General features: G+C 36.5%; 1 protein-coding gene across 19 annotated transcripts in view, besides 1 other annotated feature; it reads left to right on the forward strand.

Moving 5' to 3' along the window:
- Positions 1-1804: 1804 nt before the first annotated feature.
- Positions 1805-20905, forward strand: part of SNTG1 (syntrophin gamma 1) — an 886897-nt gene continuing 867796 nt past the window's right edge. For 10 of the 19 annotated variants that reach the window (NR_135796.2, NR_135795.2, NR_135797.2 and 7 more), the window contains exon 1: positions 3416-4240. The gene's annotated coding sequence lies outside the window, so the exon portion shown is untranslated. Of the gene's footprint in view, positions 1914-2656; positions 3054-3415; positions 4241-6982; positions 7032-20905 lie in introns of those variants that run through there. The other 9 variants (XM_047421897.1, XM_047421898.1, XM_017013582.2 and 6 more) reach the window with 5 other exon arrangements.
- Positions 2321-3265: an enhancer, noted in NCBI's record as "H3K4me1 hESC enhancer chr8:50822872-50823816 (GRCh37/hg19 assembly coordinates)". NCBI's record gives its function as "activates a minimal SCP1, AML or CMV promoter by ChIP-STARR-seq in primed H9 embryonic stem cells {active_cell/tissue: H9 hESC(primed)}" and the evidence as "EXISTENCE:reporter gene assay evidence [ECO:0000049][PMID:30033119]".

A 20905-nucleotide genomic window follows, 5' to 3' on the forward strand; every position in this document is an offset into this window, starting at 1 on the left:
ACAATTTAAAAAAGCAGCTCAAAATTATACTGAAGATGTTAAAACTGTTAATTGAAAAGGGTTCAGATATGGGTATAGGCCTATTACAGCTCTATATCTATTAGGAAACATGAAGTAAACACAGAAATAATTAGAAATATATATTAACAAAAAATAGAACCTTTAAATGGAACCACCAGTTTTTCAATTGAGGTCTAAAAATTGTGAGCAAATGATACTCCACAGATGATAGGTGCTACTACCTATTTTTGTAGAAATATACAAGATATACAAAGTTTTTACATATGTTGATTTTTGCATATGACAGTTTATGAGGCTGGCAAAAATTATGATTATTATCACCATTTTACATATAGTAATGAGATGTGAAAATAGGAGGCTTCCGGAAGTGACACAGCCAACGTTTCACATAGTGTATAATGACGATTCATTTAGATCATATTGTATGGCGGTTTCAACTTACATTTCAAACTTCCTGACCCAAAGGACTTCCAATTGTTTACAAAATGTTCCACAAACTATTATGTTTTCTAAGATTTTTGCACTGTGTAGAGTGGACTAGAGGGGAATTATATCCTAGTTTTATAGAGAGGGATTGAATGAGCCAGTTTAGAATTCACAGTAATGATGCTAGGTTACTACATTTTCTTGTGCATATAATGCTTCATGTATTGTTTTGATTATTTATATTCACATTTTACTATATTTACATTTTTAAAATCATGGCAACTTAAATTAAGAATTTTTTTAAAAAATCATTTAAAATAGACTTTGGAAAATCTGCTCCCGGGGTGAAATTTCTTAACATAATTCTTTAATTCACCTCAGCTTATTTGTCCCTTGGTTTTTTTATGTTGTACTTCATTTATATTCATTTGTAGCATCAGATGTTAGGCGGTATTTAATTTTCATCATCTTGATTTCCATAACTGGTTATACAACTTGATGAGAAAAAATATAAAGTGGATTTTGCTTCTTGAAGAAAAGACATCAAACTATCATAATCATACTGGGACTGTCAGTTCACATTAATCAACTGTTTCTGTTTTCTTTTACTGGCAGGACAGAGGGAGGGGGATAGAAAGATTGAGAGAGACCGCATAAAACTCAATCAGTGCTCAGGAAGAAAAGAATCTGTTCTTCTAGGTCTGAATAATCAAGTGCATATGTTTTTAATTAGCAACATCTTTGTACTCTGTGCTTCATTTAAATGCTCTTATTTGGTGTGTTGATTTTCTGTGGTTATTCATGTTTCCGTATGTCCTGATAAAATAATTTAAACAATCAATTAAATCAACCTTAGTAAGCATAGAATTAAATACAGCAGAGAAAAGCTTCTTTGCTGACAAGGACGGATAGCCCCTGATTAGCATAACCCTCACACGGGGGGTTTGTTTTAATCATCTAACAAAAAGGGGGCATTTTCTGAAACACACACGACAGGTATTGTTTCTGCAGAAAAAAGAAGCACGTGTTTCACCACATTTGTCTAAGGAAAAGGGAAACTTCATTTACCATAACCTTAAGCAACGTTTTCACATGGACTGAAAAGCAAAAGACCCCCTTAAAAATTAGCCTCAAGCAGCAGATACTCTCTTTTTAGGTTTGTGTGTCTCCGTGAGGTCAGATGGATTCCCCAAACACGGTTTTAGAGAGAATCACAACCTTTAATAGATCCTCTGTTAAAAAAGACTGTTAGAGAAAGTTGACCAAGGGCTTCGTTCCACGGCGACCGTTTCCTGCGTGTGCAGCTCCACACAGCGACCGCGGCCTGCAATGTGCGGAGCACAGCGCGGCCCCTTCCAGCCGGAGCTCGCGAGCCGCGGTGGCGGCTGGTGGCCACCCCAGGGAAATAAAGCCGTTGCTGCTGCAGCAAAATGGCTCAAAGTCCAACCAAAGTCTGGCCTTTTCCTGTGAGTAAATACGCGGCCTGTTTGGTTTTCCGTCCCGAGTGATTCCCGGCTCAGTAACGTTTCTCCTCCAGGGAGCCCACTGGAACTCCACTGGCTGTGCCGCCTCCTCGCCCGTCCCCCGCGCGCGCCGCAGGCCGGTGCTTGGAGAGCGCAATGTCCCCGGGAGGGAAGATCCCCTACCTGGAATGGATGGTTCCAGACCAGCGGGAACGCGCTCTAATCCTTGATGGAAGCAAGCGTGGGAGGAAAGCACAACGTCTAGGACTTCCCTGTAGTGTCAGAACAGGAAGAAGAACCTGAGAAGTCGCCGGGGAAGGGAGGCCAGGAGCAGGCGTCCGGCCCCTTCCCACAGCCCGGGAGAAATTAGTGTTGCGCCCCGCCCCTCCCGGACCCCCGTCCCCACCACACACACCAGCGCCCCTCACCAGTCTTTCTCGAATTTCCTCTCATGTCTATCAATAACCTCCTTGTGCAGAAATCTACACTGCACAAGTTAGGAGTCTGCAAGGGCGGGCGGTGTTACAGTCTCGCTCTTTCCATTTTCCCCTTTTACTCCACATAGTTTCAAAGGTCCACATGGCCCTGGTTTTGACCAGTTTTCCAACAGTTTCAACGTTATGTATTTCAACTTCCCGTCTCAGTTCACTGGCGTCTGCACCCGTTGCCGAGTGTGGGTGGCTGAGCCCTGGGTGACAGCACTCGGGACCACGCACCCATACCCTTCTTTATGCTCGTTGTCAGCCAGTTGCCAAGAGCGGGAGTGAAGAGCCTGCAAGGCCCGGGAGAGCGCGGATTCCGGAGTAGGGAGGCGAGGGGGCAGCGTGGGAGACCAGAGGGAAAATGGGCTGAAAAGCCAACAAAAAAAACAACGTAAATTGGGCTTTGCTCTGGCTTTACAAAGGCAGAGATTGTCGAGCCCTCTGACTGTCTTTGTGCCTTCTTTATCCCGTCCTTTGTGAAATAAGCCGTTTTCTGCCCCCACTGCAGGAGCCTAGGCTGTGGGCGACTCGCTAGCACTGCCCTGGGCCTCCAAGCTGCCTGCTCGCTGAGCTCAGCGCTGACACTCACAGGAGCTGCGTTCGCCGGATCCTCTGAGAGGCTCTGCAACGATCCCGATCCAATTCAGCAGCGTTTTAAAAGGTAGCCGAGTGCAGATGCTTTTTCCTGTCTTTTTCATTCTTTCATTCTCTGTCTTTTAAAATTTTAACAATAACCTATCGTTTCCGCGTGGAGGGTCTAAGAATCTTCACTGGGTTTAATTTAGGAATTTCAAATTGGGTTTCTCAAAATTTGAATGTGGTCCCCTTAATTGGTAATCAAGATTGCGGAGTTTTCCAAAATATTCCTTTTCATCTTATGTAATTAAAGATCCACGAGCTTTCCAAAGAAGCTCTGGATTTTCCACGGTACAAATCTATATATTTTTTCTCTCTCTTCCTCTCTCTCTCTCTCTGCCTCTCTCGTGCGTGTATGTGCGCGCCCCTGTGCGTGCGTTTTCTTTCATTTCTGGCATTAGGAAACTCGTGCAGGGCCACTGAAAAGTCAGGGGAGGCTCAGATGTTATTTCCCAGGGATTCCTGTTTTTCCAGAAACGTTGTCACCAAATAAGTATGAGACTGTTAATTTGGAGAAACAATTAGCCCCTACAAAAAAAAAAAAGAAAGAAAAAAGAAAAAAAAAAGAACCGGAGGGGAGAAGGCTAGGGCGGAAGACAAGGAAGCTGCTGCTTGGATTCGCTGGTGGAGGAAAGTGCGACCTGGACCTGCGCTTAGGGGCTCCCGTCCCCTTACTTCAGCACCAGAGGGGATGGACAGCGTCTCCGGACTGAGCTGCAGCCACAGGGACGGAACTACGCTGCCGCCGCCGCTGTCCTTGCCGCCACTGTCGTCGCCACGGGCAGCTGGGCTACTTGCTCCTCGCAGCTAAAAGGCGGTGCCTCCTATTACCCCCTCGCCTCCCGGCCCCCTTCCTTAATGGATGAAAAGTACCCCTCCCTCTACACCTGCTGTACCTAAGGACAGGACTCTGAGGAGTACTCTTGCTCCACAGATTAAACTCTCAGCAGCAACTTCAAGAATCATTTTTCTATAGGGGTCTGGGAGGAATTCTGGAGGAGAGTAAAGTCGAAGTTCTTAGAAGCTCTGAGAAATCATGGGCCGTGCGGTAGGGGTTGAAATGCTCAAAGGTCCACACTTCTTGAAATAAACAGAATGGTCTTGAGTGGATTGCAACTGTTTTGGAAATAGCTTTGTGAAAAGAGGGTGGAGAGCTACTCAAAATTCTACGTTAGAGAGACTGAAAAGACATCTAATTTCATTGCTCGGCAGGTAAGTGATAGCGCTATTATTTTTGTTTTTTAAAATTCTAATGACTTGTCTTATGGTTTAACAGAAAGATCATAAGCAGTGTAATTTTTTCTGGGGTTAACGAGGAGACAAGCAATTTTGTTTTAAAATAATTGTTTCTGGATCATTGTGTGACAAGAAGAATCAAAATAACATACATGTTGCCTTACATAATTACAGTAAACTTTTAGCTGGCCATTTTTCTTATTGCTTATCTAATATCTTTTTGGATCTGGCATATCTTGTTTATTTTTTCCCAAAACTAATGCAATCGTTTGGCAAGATAATTTTGTTGTCTTATGTATGCCATAAAAAGTGATCCTGTCTGTGTTACATAGTATGCAAGACTAAAAAAGTTAAAATAGAGAGGGTTTAACCATGCCCTCTAACATATTTTATATTGTTATAATATACTAAACTATGCATGGGAACAAATACATGTATACATATACACCAGATTTCTCACTCCATGCCAACCTCCAAGTATACCTACACCTGTAGGATCTTACGTAAGGAGACACTCATATTTTTACTTAGCACCCTCTTTCCAGCCTTTGAAAGCTCAAGATTGCTTTCTCAAACCTGATCTGCCAGAAAGCAGAAAATGAGAAGCTTTAGTGTGCCTCTTTAGGAGAGCTGGATTTCAAAATCATTCTAACTTATTAGTTCTGCAAAATACATTTGTCAGTGAAATCCAGAAAGTGATAGGGACCAGTAGGTTCCCGAAAAACCATAAACTTTAAAATGCTAATTAAATCTGTTTTCTGTTGATTCTTATTTCTAGTTTTCCCCTGGAGCTTTAAAATTACAATCTTTCACAGTGACCTTGATAAGCATTCTGCTTTAATAAAAAGGGTTCACTGGGCAAAAGCAGTTACACAAATTTGTAACCCGTGCCTGACATTTCACTAAGAATCCGATCAATTCCAATGAGTACATTCAGTTCAGTGAAGAGTTTTGACTTGCAAGGATGGAATTTTACAGTCATGTAAATACATGTGATGAGATATTCATAATCAACTCTGTGAAAAGAGTCTACCCCTTTGAAAAATTACAGGAGATCTTTAGGTTTTACTTTTAATTTCACTGGTTGTGTGTAACGATAGTAAAATGGCTCTAATGCATATCTATACGTACCTTCCTTCTCAATTTTAACACAAAAATCATTGGAGGCCGTTACAGTGGCATTCATTGGTGGGGTGATGTCCTCTTGTTTTATGTTGGCTGAGTGTAGCAATTACTCTGAGGAAAAATCATTCTTAACTGTCACCACTTACCATGAACCTGCTTGCTTAGCAGAAAAGGAGCAGAGGCATCTATGTCACTGAGCTCCTTGGGGGCTCCGTTGCCCTATATAGGTCAAGAATGATTATCTGAGGAGGAGAAACATGTATTATTGATTTGGATTCCTTCCCAGAAAACCTACAATGTGCTCTTAACACAATCCTTTTTTTCCTCAGTGGGAGAGGTATGGAAGTGAAATTATCACATGGAAGACTTAATCATATTTTAAGAGAGTTACAGCATGTCTTTAGACAATTATTTTGGCTGTCAATTAATTAACACAGAGGGACTCCCCTAGTCAGTAGGGCATAAAATGTAAGCAGAGAATGTGTTTCAAGAAGCACTCCTCTGTGTATATGGCCGCAGTTCCCTCCTCAGGGGCAGAGGGGGCAGGCTTTCTCTATGTGTAACTGAAATCTCACAAAGTGAAAGTTACCTTTGCCTAATCCCTTAGGAGATTTAGTCACAGAAATATGTAACTCTAATTCACCCCAAACTCATGAAACTGCATGGAAACCCTTGTCAATCCTTATCTGTAGGGAAATGTCCTTACATTGAGATAGAGTTTGGGAAAGCAACTTAATGCCTACCAATGCTAATCTCTAATTGTAAAGTAGATAGTCAAACAAACAAACAAAAAGGGGGTAGTGGAAACCAATCTTCATTATTGCACAGAATCACTTGTCTTTAAAGAAAAATCAACATTTTATTAAGGGATATCTGTACCCCACTAAGGGCATCTATTTGCTTTGATAGTTATTTTGTTTTGCTAAAGAAAAAGGATGCATGAGGTCTTGGGAGTACCAAACACACTATCTTTTCCCCATTAAAAAAAAAAAAAAAGTTTTATTGGATAAGACTAAGTGTTGTTGGCTGTTGCTTACATTTGAGACTCAAAAGAGAAAGGTGAGATGGGATTACATAATCTAGAAAATGTAAAGTATATATAGGACCAGAGGATAATTTAAAATGAGCCCTGGAATCCATTCAATTGCCTTCTTCCAAAATGTTATAAAAACACTTCTTGATTAATTTTTGCATAGACTATATAAATATTACTTGTATATTCTAATGTAATTATTCATACCATGAAATCGTATTGGATTTTAATGCTCACAGTTTGCCTTTGGAGTTATTTACTTGGGTTTCAATCAAGTTCAAACATTTATCAAAAAATATAAAAGTAAAAAATGACTATTGCTAATATTTAGTAATTGGCTGTTTTTGACCACTTAAAGATTTATAAATTCCAAGCAGCTAGCCTGCTTACTCACCTAGTTCTGTTAAGCAACACAAAAGCCACTAGGAAAGAAAAAAGCATATTGTAAGCTAGAAATTATTTCCATAGTAATCTCACCTTCCCAGAAATCTGTACAGTGTGTTATAGAATAGAATTCAAATGGAGAGAGATCTCTTATTTGGTGTTTTCTTCCTATTTAGCTTAGCAGAGTGAGCACATAGCATGTGTTGGAAGAGACAACATCCTGTGGTAAGAAACATGTTACACATCATGTTGTAGGGAAACAAGTACTACTTGACAGTCAAAAGATCAGAATTTTTTAACTGCTGGCCATAAGATCTTCTACAAGTCACTCAATCCACTGCAGCTGAATTTTTCTTCCTTAAATTTGGGGATTCTTTACTTTTCAATGAAGACACAATAATTTACATACAGCTGATACCTGAACACTCATGAGATAAGTGAATGATGCCTACTTTGTGGGATACTGGAAAGTCGAAATTCAATGATTTTGAGAGTGTTTTGGAAACAAGTGTTATATCTGTGAGTTATTATAAATAATTTCCAATAGCATTCATTCATTCGTCAAAAAAAATCCCACTAATTACTAAATAACAGGCACATCCCTTATACTTAACAACTCTCAGCATAGGGAATATAATACTTCCCTGATACTTCAGCAGTCATTTCCTTTACATCTCTTAATGGTATAAATATAAGTGATATTCAATGAAGGTGGACTTGGTTTCAAAAATATTTTATTACTCAGAACTGACACCACATTCTATATCAATTGGACAAACTTAGTTGACCTGAGTCTATTTCAACAACTTTCATTTTGACCTTCAAAGAATCTATCATGTCGTGTCATAATTTTCTAGTTTATAAAGGAGGATTAATGTTTGTCATTAGTGATATTGATAAGGAAACTCATACGATGAAATACACTTCAAAACTCCATATCCTAAAACATACAGAAAGCATTGTGATTTGACTGCTGGCTTGTGAGCATGGAGTGAAATGTGGACAACATGCGGGCTGATCTAAGGGGCTAGCCTGGAAATGCTGTTAAGATGTTGTTTTGATTTAGTCGAAAGCCTAGATTTTATTCATAGGCCTCTTTAGGACATCTCTTTAGAAAATCGAATAAGCAGTATTTCATTGCTTATTTGCTTTTCTTAGTCGGGTTTTAAACGTCACTATGATTTTTTCAATGTAATTTATCAACATTTGGTCTGTATAGATTTCTAGACTATCACTAAAAATATACTGACAGTATTCTTAGGAAATATAAGTCAATGTTTGGTGTTACAGTTATTTCCAGCATTGTTTTGTGGTTAAATTATATAATTGCACCAGCGATAAAAAATTATATCATCACTTACTTAGTAATATAATTCAGATTTTTTTTTGTCAAATACACACACACACACACAAAAACCCAGAAACAGTCAAAAACATAAAATGAAAAAGAACTGAGAGTAAGAGGTCATTAAAATAATGTCTTGAGGCCAGAGAATTTATCTTTGAATTATCCTTAAATTTTCACCGTGAAGTTTCTTCAGCACATTCTACACACTGAAAGAGTCAGAAAATCATTTTGGGTCTCCTGAATTTGGTCTTCAATTTGTCAGCAAAGATAAAGTGATCATGTTATATTTTTTTTCAAAAAGAGTGTCATTAAATCAATTCATTTGAATACTTGCTTATTATCACTTCATCATATGTAATGTACATACTTGAAGATATTTTTAAAATTAAAAATTGTGAAGTAATTATATGCTCTATGTTTAACAAATTTACTCACAATTTCGGTCTAAGATTTAGTTTTTTAAAAGAATAAGTGCTTGCCTGGTAAATTCACTAAATAAGCTAATAGAAAATAGAAATCTTTTAGAAATGGTGCCAAAATTTGAACAATAATGTGTTACTTATATAAAACTATGAAAAGGCCAAGTACAGTGGCTCATGCCTATAATCCCAACACTTTGGGATACCGAGGCAAGAGGATCACTTGAAGCCAGGAGTTCAAGACCAGCCTGGGCACCACAGTGAGACCTCGTTTCTTCAATAGAAAAAAAAAACATAAAAAATAAAAAAATAATATCTGGGTGTGGTGAATGTGCCTGTAGTCTCAGCTACTCAGGAGGCTGAGGTAGGAGGATCACTTGAGCCCAGCAGTTTGAGGCTGCAGTGAGATATAATCACATCACTGCACTCCAGCCTGAATGAGATTCTATCTCAAAAAAATATATATATTAAAAATAATAAATTTTATTTGAATCTTTTCAAGGGGTGAGAAATAAGTATGTGAGATTAAGAAATTTAGATCATAGATGAGAAAAGAGTATTTTATGGTTAAAAATGCATCCAGTACACACAAAATCTGAGGTTCAACATGGTTTGTCATCAATTGGTTGTGTGGACTTGGGTAAATCACTTTATCTTAATTTAACTGCTCAGCTATATCCTTGGTCCTATTGGTAAATCATTATTATGTCCATGAGAAAATAAACAATGTCTATGTTTAGTTGAACTCATAAACTTTCCTTCCACATCTGTCATGCCATTCTTCTTGAAAATGTTTCCGTGCTCTCATGGTGGAACATACATGGGATTTAGAATCAGACTTAAGTTCGAATCCTGTTATAGAAATGGCATTAATGACAAAAACTTGGGCAAGGAATGTGAAGTCTCTAAGTCTGATGTCCACTGCAGTGTGTTGCTGGGAACAGTTAATGAGCAAATTGTATACAATGGCTAGTACATTGACCGGGATTTGTTGAAGCTGGTGAGTGTTATGACTTAGCCTGTTAGACTAGTCTATGCACATGGCTCTGATCAACTACCGCTCTCTCATTTCTCCAGATAAATCCCCCATGCTTTATATTCTCTTCCAAACATACTATCCTCATCACCACATAGTTCTTTTGTTAATGCTTTGTTCTAGACTTTCCCTTTTCTGTTTTCTTATTCAAACCTATATCTCTTTGCATAGATTGTAAATTCAAATGCCCTCAGGGTGCAGGCAGTTCATGTAAGGAGGGAGGCTAGCCAGTGAGATCTGCATCACACTGCAGAAAGTGAGCCCGTCAAGAGTCCTCGACTCAGCTCTGCTCAGTTAGAACAAAACGTGAGAACTGAAAATAGAGAATTTTGTGTGAAATCTACTTTTTGCTTTACCTAATTTCATTGTTAAAATTTTGCATGTAGCGAAACAGACTACATGCTAGATTCCACACATAGCTGCCGAACCTTTTCGTTTCCCATTTCAATGACATTTAATAGAAACCCTAAACTGAGATATTCAGTCAGATTTTTTCCAGACCTTTTTGTTTTTATCTAGAAATGAGACAATGAACCACGACTTGATGAAAAGGTTCATCTTAATATGTTTTTACAATTTTAAAATAAATAAACCTAAAAAATAATGAGTGGCTGAGATAAAATAGATACTTCATGTTTTTGAATGGGCAAAAGTTTTGTGGGGAAAAATTAACTCATAGAACAAATAGGAATGAAGATAGGTCAATAATATTACATAATATGTTTTATTCCAGCATCTTTTCCAGCTACTGTTTTTGCCCCTCATACACATGCAACAGCTACAATAACCCAGATAATAACCTTGATTAACAGTGAGACTAAGAAAAGATTATTAGTTATTGACTAATATCTGCAAATATCCCTTCTTCCCAGAATACAAATTTTCTACTTTTGTGCCTACTCATATGTGTAAAAACAGATAATTTCTTTAGAAAGTTATTTTTTACATTTCATCAGCAAATTATAACACACTCTATAGAATATTCTGTTGGATTTCACAAATTGGAGGCAGATGTCTTATTGTATGTTCGGTGATGTAAGTCCACACACCCACACAACCGCACAAACACAGGGATGGATAAGATTATGCTTTGGTTTGATATATGGCAATTTTTTTTTGTAATTTCTTCTTTTCTAATCCTTGTTAATAGTGACTGTGCCAAAGGGAAAAACAATTCTGCAGTTATTGATGGAAAAAAAGGAGCTTATTTTGCCTAATTGGTATTTGTATATTTTAATTTCTTTTTTTGCTAGAAGTGACAAAATCCCAGCTTAAAGTGGCTTAATCCAAATAAGCAACTAAATAAAAAATATATTTGCAAAAGAGAATTACTGGCTTATGCAGTAGCAGATTATAGCAGGTATGGCTTGATTAAAGTGTTCAAATACTATCCGCATTCTTCAGTGTTGTCTTCATTCCAAAGTACGGTTTGCCTACGTGATAACATTTGCCTCTTTCTCTGTTCTCACTGTCTTTCTCCCTCACTCCTGTCTATGTTTCTGTTTCTGTCTGTCTCTTTTCTCCCCCTCTCTTCTTCATCTCTTTCTCTGTCTTACTCACCTCCTTACCAGTTATAGTTCTACAGTGTTTCCTTCCCAAATCCAGTTCACTTCCTCAATAGTTCCAGTAGATGTACTGGGATTGACCAAGGGAATATTACATATTGGGCTGGATCTTGAAGTAGGATGGGCTTTACAAAACCACACTGATTGAGGGGTATTAGTTATTGACTAATATCTGCAAATATTCCCTCTTCCCAGAACACAAATGACTAGCATAGTGCAGTTTTCAGTGAAAGGGGAGACTACATTAAAGGATAGAAAAGAACAACACTTGTCCTCTACAATGCTAGTGAAGAATCTACCCAAGATTTCTAAGTCACTGAATTTATCTACTGCTGAGGGAATACTCAGCAAAAGTGGGCTCATTGGCTTGTTGTTTCTCTAAAAGCTTTTTTTTCCTAAGGAAAGAATGTCTTAAGATGAAATGTTTGACTTTAAATGTAATTAACATATCAAAGTTTTGTGGGTGTCCTTTTACTATATTATTAACAAATGAATAATATGAAAAGGACACACAAGTGGATTAAAAAATCATTGGGGATAAAAAAATAGTTATTCCAGAACAGTTATTTTTTCTATATTTGGTGACTTTTTTCAGTAGTTTTAAATGATATTTCCTTATTTAACACATGGTGGAGCCTGTTCCAGCTTAGCTAGACTATTTCCCTTTTGTTTTCCTGGTCTGGTTTTAATCTTGAAGAAGTAAAACTCCCGAAAGTAGATTAATCTACTTGTGTACATTTTACACCATTATTATAGATGAGCCAATCAAGAGTAATACAATAGCGCACACTTAGAGTCAAAGTAAGTCAGATTGTGGTAGTTTGTCCAATTCATTAACTTCATAAATTAACTTTATTTTTCTCTTCAAACACATCTTTTTCTCAACTTAAGAATCCTTTTAAGCGATTAGAGAAAACTAAAATATGTCCATTATCTACCTAAGTCATTTGCTTTTATTTTCCATATTGTGTTCTTTTCCAAGAAATCTCCTTGAAGTTGGAACTAGAAGTTTCAGTATAAAGTCTTCATAGGGCATAATAAATGCATTTGGGAAAATGTAACCCTACACTTTAGTTTCCGTTCGTAATACTATTTTCTCACATTCTATGTGTTATACATGATTGTTAGAGTCCTGTTTTAGGGAATCTCATGTGATTCTCACAGCAGGACTAGGAAGCTGACTTTTTCATTCCTGTTTTGCAAATGGGACAATCAAGCTCCAGGAAAGTTAAATGCTTCTCTATAGATTAAGTCAAAATTGAGATTTAGGATCAATATTTAATGCTTTTCTATTCATAAGTGGTTTAGGAAGAAAAACTGCCTCTCTTCTTATAACACCTATTATAGGCTTGACTTGCTTTAGATTGCAGTAAATAAATAAAAAAACAAATAAACAACAACAACAACAACAAACAGAACAGCTGAATTTCATTGACTTTAGTTTTACTAACTAAGTAACTGGAGGCGTTTAGATTCTCAAGAATCTTGAAGGGTTCATGTGTTATCTTGATCTTAATCTTATACAAACAGAGAGGTTTTTGGACAGCATAATCACATGTTGAAAGTCATATTTTACAAGCTTCAGGGAACCATGGTGGACCAGAGTTGATTCTATTGCAGAATTCAGACTTGAGATGATGAGAGCTGGACCTAATTGGGTGAAGGTTAGAAATTAGCCTATTAAAACTAAATGACTAGATGTTAGTGATGCCGCTATCAAATAAAACAAGAATCAGGAGGAGGCCAAATGAGATAGTGTTTTTGTGTACTAGGTAAATGCTCACATATGTAAGTGTGAAATACGCTTCTTTGGAAGGAAAGATGTGATATCTGACATGGGACATGTCAAATGGATAATGAGAGGACATAACAACCAAATGCAGGTGAAGAACCCATTAATTTTAGAAAGAGGGTAAAACCTGACCTATCTAACTCAGAGCTACCGAAGTGGAGATTACTGCTAAAGCTATGAAAATTTATTAGCTATTTGAGAGAATAAAAGAAAAACAATTGTTTACAGACATAAATATCTTTCAAAAGTAAGAAAAAAATAAGAGAAAAGAAGGTCATAAAAGAGTCGTAGAAAGTGTAGGGGAAAGGTATAAAGGAAAATGCATGGAGTTCTAACAAACATACCATGGTTAACAGTGTTGATACTGCACAGAAGTGAAAGGAATGGATGTTTGAGGTTCCTTTGGGTTTGCTCAAAAGCAGATCACAGGGCATCCTGGAGAGAACGATTTCTGAAAAACGATTAACATAATGTTTGGACTGTCAGATCCTCAAGATCAAATCAAGGATAGACAGTAGAAAGATCACGTTCATTCTAGGAAGATAGTAGGGATCAGAAGGGATTTTGTGACAAGGAAAAAGCACTGCAGAATTATTGCTGACAATGTGTGTTATCTCCCTTATTGCTTCCGGTTTACAGCCTGCTTTAGAATTAGGTGATGCTGCATTTCTGGGAATATGAGTGCTTTGTTGCATTTGATCAGATCAGGTCTGTCTGTGGTGATTAAGGTCTAGTGATTGGAATTATAAATGAGAGTATAGTCAACCAAAAAGATACACATACTACCTGGGAAGACATCTGTTTAAAGTTTTCTTTTCTCCACCTCATTATATATTCAATTTTAAGTGATCATGTAAAATATGCATAAAATATACACATAAAATAGTCAATAGTTGCTCATTTGTTTTAGCCACTGAGAATTGACTGAGTTCTCCACTTGGAACATGTAAGGTAGTGTTGACTTTACTTGAAAGGCTGACATCCATTTCAGATAACGGTGTCTCTTTTTATTTTATCATCCTATTATATTCTCTTCTACGTGATTTGCCTTCTCTGCTTTTCATGTTGTGTAAAATTTTCATATTTTTCTAAAAGAAATTTTGGAGCATGAAGAATGCATACAAGGGGTCTGCAGACCCATCTAAACTTTGTTAGTAGACTTTATATCTCACTGCGGCTCAATGACCTGGAAGATAAACTGGCCCTGTCTGTTCCATCAGAACAACAGGAATTTCCCGAGTTCAGGCAAACAGAAGTTTGCTTTTGTCTGATACTCAAATTTCTCTCTCAATCACTCAGATTCTCCAGATAATTGCCTGGCTTTTTTCTTGGTACTAGAGGAGTGAATTATCTACTTTCTGGAGGCCAATTAAGTTTTCTAAACCACTAGTGGGCATTTCAGCAAATTACCTTTTCAGTGCACTAAAAAGCTCCTCAGTAACCCAAAAGAATTAATGTACCACCAAACAGTGGGCAATTTATTCCCTCACCACTGATGAGGGCAGACAGTTTAGAGCATTAATGGGAGCATTTACATTGAGTCACAGTGAAGTATGGAGTCACTGAGCCTTTGTGAAGCTAACCCATGGAGGGTGAGGAGGTGTTTATCACTGTGGAGAAGGGAGGAGGGACAAAGGAGATGATCCCTACCCTTAAAAGCTGTAGATAATGCTGTCAGCCATTATCTGGATGGAATTCCTATATCATCATCTGTATATTTGGCAATAATAGGCAAGTTAACAACCCATGGTCATGAATAATTATCTGGTTTTAGAGTTGTATAAAAGTATTCTTTGTGAAATAATCAAATCTTTTATTTTTTCATGTACTGACCATTGCTATTTTTATCCTGGTCCTGTTTGTGAAATGGGATAATTTATTTCTGTCAACTAAAAAAATCAATGACTTGGATGTAAATGAACCTACTACATGTAACTGGTTTTGGTTTTAACTCTTCTCCTGTTTTTCTCCATAAATGTACTGATAAATGTAATGATTCGTGTCTACTTTATTAATTACTGCTATTTCCTGCTGTGGTAGATATTCCACCTGAAATATCTGGAAATTCAACTGAAAGAATTGTTTAAGGCCCTTTTTCTTAGGTCTCATGAATCATATTTCAAGCAATATATGCATATTACTACATACCATTCTACCGAATAACTCAAAGATATCCCACCTTGTTTTTAGGAGATATTGTCAAAAACACTGACAAATACCAAAGATTTCCTAGTCATGCTTACGAATGGATAAAATTGTTTGGAGAACTAAACAATTCTACTATGTATAATTCAATGTTGGGATTTTGTTAAAAAATAAAATTCCTTCAAATCTTACCCAATCTTTATTTCTGTGAAACATTTTTGGGAGGGGAAAATATGGATAAAATAGGCCTAATAGTAGAATAATCAATTAAATGAAGCCTAGAAATTATTTACATTATTTTTATAAGCATATAAAGTCTTCAATAGCCTATTTTCTTCTGAGGAGAATTAACAAAATTCCAAATGAAATACAGTCTCTTCCTTCAATGTGTACTTCCAGAACATTTGCATAAGATCTTCACTGTAATGAAGCCAAATTACTCAGCCTTTTCACGTTTATAAAGGATACATGTTAAGACATTGAGTCCTAGGAGGAAGATGGCACTTAAATACATGAAAGTTTTGAGCATCAATCTCAGACTATATTATAACTGCTCCTAATGAACATGGAATTTAAACAACTGGAACAAATCCAATAAGGAGAAAAAAAAAAGGCTTGGCATCTGATGAGTTACTTAGCATATCTTTTTGTAAAGAATAAAAGCTCTCTGGCTTCCAACAAAGAGTTTGTGAGCTGTATGGCAGTGTTTTGAACAAGGAGATCATTTATAAATGCTGTCTTTATTTGGGAAATAATTATGGGATGCAGCTGCAAGTTTTAATGACTTTTAATAAAGTATGTTATAAAGTGAATTAGCAATAAATATCTAACAGATGATACTGAATCAAGACATTAAAGAACATCATTAGACCTATATCTTGGATTGCTAAAGCAATAAATGTGTTTTTGTTAATACCAGTGGTTTTTTAATTTTCTAGGACATTCTGAAGGAAATTTTAAGGCAGGTTAATTTTTAATGAATAGGGTTAGTCTATCAACTAGCTCTGCTAGCCCAGTACAATTTTAGATATGTAACTAATAGGGTATCAAAGCTGAAAACTCTTAAATTTCAACAATATATAGAATTATAAAATAAGTTTCACCGGTAGTATCTGAAAATACAGTATTTCAGCCACTTAAATTATTATGACTTTCATAAAGAAAGGTATATGTACTTTATAGAGGAAAAAAAGTTTGTTAGAAAATCTGTGTTCAACACTTGCTTTGCTGGCATTACCACAACTAAATTTCAATGTCAGGTGGTCAGAATACCAATGATCAGGGGCAAATACAGATAATAACCCACACTTCCTGTTTGTACAAGTATTACTATGCCACCTCAGTATGCAGAATAATGCAGTAAAAATTTGTTTTAAAAACCAAGTTTAGTTACCAACCTCCAGAAGTGAGCAGAGCCGGGCTAACATAGCATTGTGATATCACTATAAGCTGGCTTTGGAAATGTACTCACAGATGATCAGGTTAGGAAGCTGACCCTCAGAATGTCTGCAATTTGTTTCAAGTTTCAAATTTAGTTTATGAGGGAGTTTAGACATTAATTATGTTTTATTTCATGATGATACTCCAAAAAGGCTAAAGAAAAGTTGAATAATGTTTAATGGGTACCTCTGTATGTAACCATAGTTCAGGGCAAATGAGCAATCTAGGATGCTGAGAAACAAGAGAAGAGGCAAGTTGTAAGTCTTGCTTGACTTCTCAAATGATATTCAATCATGGTTGAATTCCCTTCGTAGATGCAGCTATTGGCCAGGTGTAGTGGCTAATACCTGTAATCCCAACTCTCAGAAAGTCTGAGGCAGGAGGATCGCTTGAGGCCAGGAGTTCGAGATCAGCCTGGACAACAAAGTGAGACCCCCCCATCACTACAAAAAGTAAAGTAATTATCCGGATGTGGTGGTGTGTGCTGGCAGTTACAGCTACTCAGGAGGCAGAGGCAGGAGAATTGCTTGAGCCCAGGAGTTCAAGGCTGCAGTGAGCCATAATCATACCACTGCATTCCAGTCTAAGCAACAGAACCAGTACCTGTCTCTAAAAAAGTAAATAAATAAAATAAACAAATTACAGATGCAGCTATGCACAGTTATGTTATATTTAAATAATTACTTGTCTTTTAACTTTTTACTTTAATTATAAACTGAAAGAAGGTTGCAGACATAAATTTCTCATGAAAACTTCTCCAACTTCCTTCATGATAACATCTTACATAATTGTAATACAATACCCAAACCAGGAATTGATATTATACAGTATTGACAAATACACTATAGCCTTATTTAGATTTCACCAGTTTTTACCTGAACTAATTTGCCTGTGTGTGTGTATCTGTCTGTCTGTCTGTCTGTCTGTCTGTCGCTGTGTGTGTGGAGTTCTGTGTGGTTTATCCCATACATAGATTTGTATAACCACTCTCACAATCAAGATATACAACTGTTTTAGCACCACAAATAAACTTCCTTGGTTTATCTGGTACAGTGTGATTCACACCCAGCTACCCTGGAAACCACTGTTCTGCTCTCTATCTCTACAATTTTGTCATTTTGAGAATGTTACATAAATGGAATCATATGGTATGTAGCATTTGAGATCCATTTTTTGCACTCAGAGTAAACTATCCAAGTTGTTGCCTGTGCCAGTAGTTTATTCATTTTAATTGCTAAATAGTATTTTGTGGTATTCCAGCTTTTCCAATCTGTTTGCTCATTTAGTGATTGAAGGACATTTAGGTTGCTTTCAGTTTGGGGCTACTGTGAATAAAGGTGCTATGAATATTCATGTACAAGTAATTGTTATTCAGTAATAGAGAACTGGAATATCTCCCTATGAGCACACTTGATCACTTAATAGGACGTAATAACAATATATTTTGAGAAGGTAGGTAGACCAGGTACTAGAGAATGACTTGAATCGGTCATCCTAAGTTTTAAACTCTGGTTTTCATGGGTGGGTGATGGTTTTTTACTGGTTGCCTTTTCTCTATTAGTTTCAGATATATAATACTGTAAAACAATAATAAGGTTCTAGAAATTAATGTAAAATTTAAACAAATCAATAAACTTCCCACACAAGTATCGATTTTCTAAGAAGAGGTTCTAGGTAATGTCATATTTACTTGATTTTATAATTACCCATATGTTCTATTACGAAAAAATAAATAGGTTTGTGAAAGGTAACAAAAAATCTACACACAATTTGTACAAGTATAATTTTTTTACAATTTATATTTTTTAGAAGTTCACAAATATATTTATAAAAACTGGAGCATATATTGTGCCATAAAGAAAACTATGCTGAACTTCAAATGATTAAATTTCAAACACCATGATGTTATATCAATACAATTTAATTAAACATAAATTAATTAAAAATAACTAGAGTTTTTCAACAAATAAATATGAAACAACTGAACATTCACATGCAAAGAAAATGAGTCTAGACATAGACCTTAACAGTATTGACAAAAATTAACTTAAAGTGAATCATTCATCCAAATGTAAAATTCAAAACCACTAAACTCCTTGAAGATATCATAAGAGAAAATATAGATGACCTTTGGTATGGCAATGACTTTTTGGATGTAACATCAAAGGCATAATCTTTCAAAGAAATAATTGATAAGCTAAATTCATTAAAATTAAAAATATCTCCTCTGTGAAAGGCAATGTCAAGAGAATAAGAAGACAAGCTATGGAAAAGGAGAAAATACTTGCAAAGGATATATTTAATAAAAGACTGTTATTTAAAATATACAAAGAGCACTTCAAGCCCAACAATAGGAAAATAAACCAACCAATTAAAAAATCGGTAAAGGACCTTAACAAACATCTCACCAAAGAAGACATGCAGGTGGCAAATAAGCATATGAAAAGATGCTCAACACCTTATGTCATTAATAAATTGCAAATTAAAACAACATTGAGATGCCACTGCACAACAAAAAAATTAGAAAATTAGAATGGCCAAAATCTAAAACACTGACAATACAAAATGTTGACAAGAATGTGGGGAAACAGAAACTTATCCATTGCTGGTAGAAATGCAAAATGGTAGAGCCACGTGGAATACAGTTGGGGACTTTTTTACAAGACTAAACATACTCTTAGCATACAATCTAGCAATCACACTTGTTGTTATTTACTCAAATTATTTGAAAACTTACGTCCAGCAAAACTGGCTCAGGAATATTTATAGCAACTTTATTCATAATACCAAGCTTGGAAGTAATCAAAATATTCTGCAGTAAATGAATGAATACATAAACTCTGGTACTTCCAGGTAAGGGAATACTAAAATAAATGAGTTAAAATAAATGAGTTATTAAGCCATGTAAAGACATGGACTATATGTGAAATATATGTTAATATTAACTTACTTAAGAAGTTGAGAATATATTTTAAATATTAAGTTACTTAAATATTATGGTACTAAGTGAAAGAAGCTAACCTAGAAAGGCTACATATTATATTATTCCAACTATATGACATTCTGGAAAAGGCAGAATTATGGAGACAGTAAAAAATATAAAAATCATAATAAATTATTGATTGCCAGAAATTAGGGGGAGGGAGGGATAAGTAGGCAGAGCATAGATTTTTATCACAGTAAAACTAAACTGTATGACACTATAATAGTGGACAAAAGTCATTATATGTTTGTCCAGACCCACAGAATGTACAGTACCTAGAGAGAACCATAATGTAAATGATGGACTTTGGGGCTGGGAGTGGTGGCTCAAGCCTGTAATCCCAGCACTTTGGGAGGCTGAGGGGTCAGATCACAAGGTCAGGAGTTCAAGATCAGCCTAGCCAACATAGTAAAACCCCTTGACTACTAAAAATATAAAATAATAGTAACAAAAATTAGCTGGGCATGGTGGCGTGCACCTGTAGTCCCAGCTACTCGGGGGGCTGAGGCAGGAGAATCGCTTGAATCCGGGAGGCGGAGGTTGTAGTGAGCCGAGATCACACCACTGCACTCCAGCCTGGGCAACAGAGTGAGACTCTGTGAAACTCTGTCTCAAAAAATAATAAATAAATAAATAAATAAATAAATAAATAAATAAAAATAAAAAAGATGGACTTTGGGTGAAGATGTGTCCATGCAGTTTTTTTGTTTCTTTTTTTTTGAGACAGAGTCTAGCTCTGTCCCCCAGACTGGAGTGCAGTGGTGTGATATCAGCCGCTCATTGCAACCTCTGCCTCCTGGGTTCAAGCGATTCTCCAGCCTCAGCCTCCCAGGTAGCTGGAACTACAGGCACTCACCACCGTGCCCAGCCAATTTTTTTATTTTTAGTAGAGACAGGGTTTTGCCATATTGGCCAGGCTGCTCTCGAACTCCTAACCTCAGGTGATCCTCCCACCTGGGCCTCCCAAAGTGCTGGGATTATAAGTGTGAGCCACCGCGACCGGCCAGAGATTCTTAGACTGTAATAAATACACTACTCTGCTGGTGTGCAACAAATGTTGATAGTAGGCTAGGTTGTGGGTGTGGCAGCGCAGGAGCTATACAGGAACTCTCTGCACATTTTGCCCAATTTTGCTGTCAATGTAAAACTGCTTTAAAAAATAGTATATTTAATTTTTTAAAAATTAGAAAATTTTCTTGTTTGTAAAATTAAGAAATACTTTTCCCCAGTGCAAGAAAAAAAATAATATTTTTTAAATCAGAAAATATTTTAAACAAAAAAGTAATAAAATGTTATACATATGATTGTTTAGGACATGCATAATTTATAAGTAATTCTCTAGCCTTAAATATATTTTTGGAAAGAAACAAA

The sequence above is a fragment of the Homo sapiens genome, chromosome 8 (genome assembly GCF_000001405.40).
Source record: "Homo sapiens chromosome 8, GRCh38.p14 Primary Assembly".
Taxonomy (NCBI): domain Eukaryota; kingdom Metazoa; phylum Chordata; class Mammalia; order Primates; family Hominidae; genus Homo; species Homo sapiens.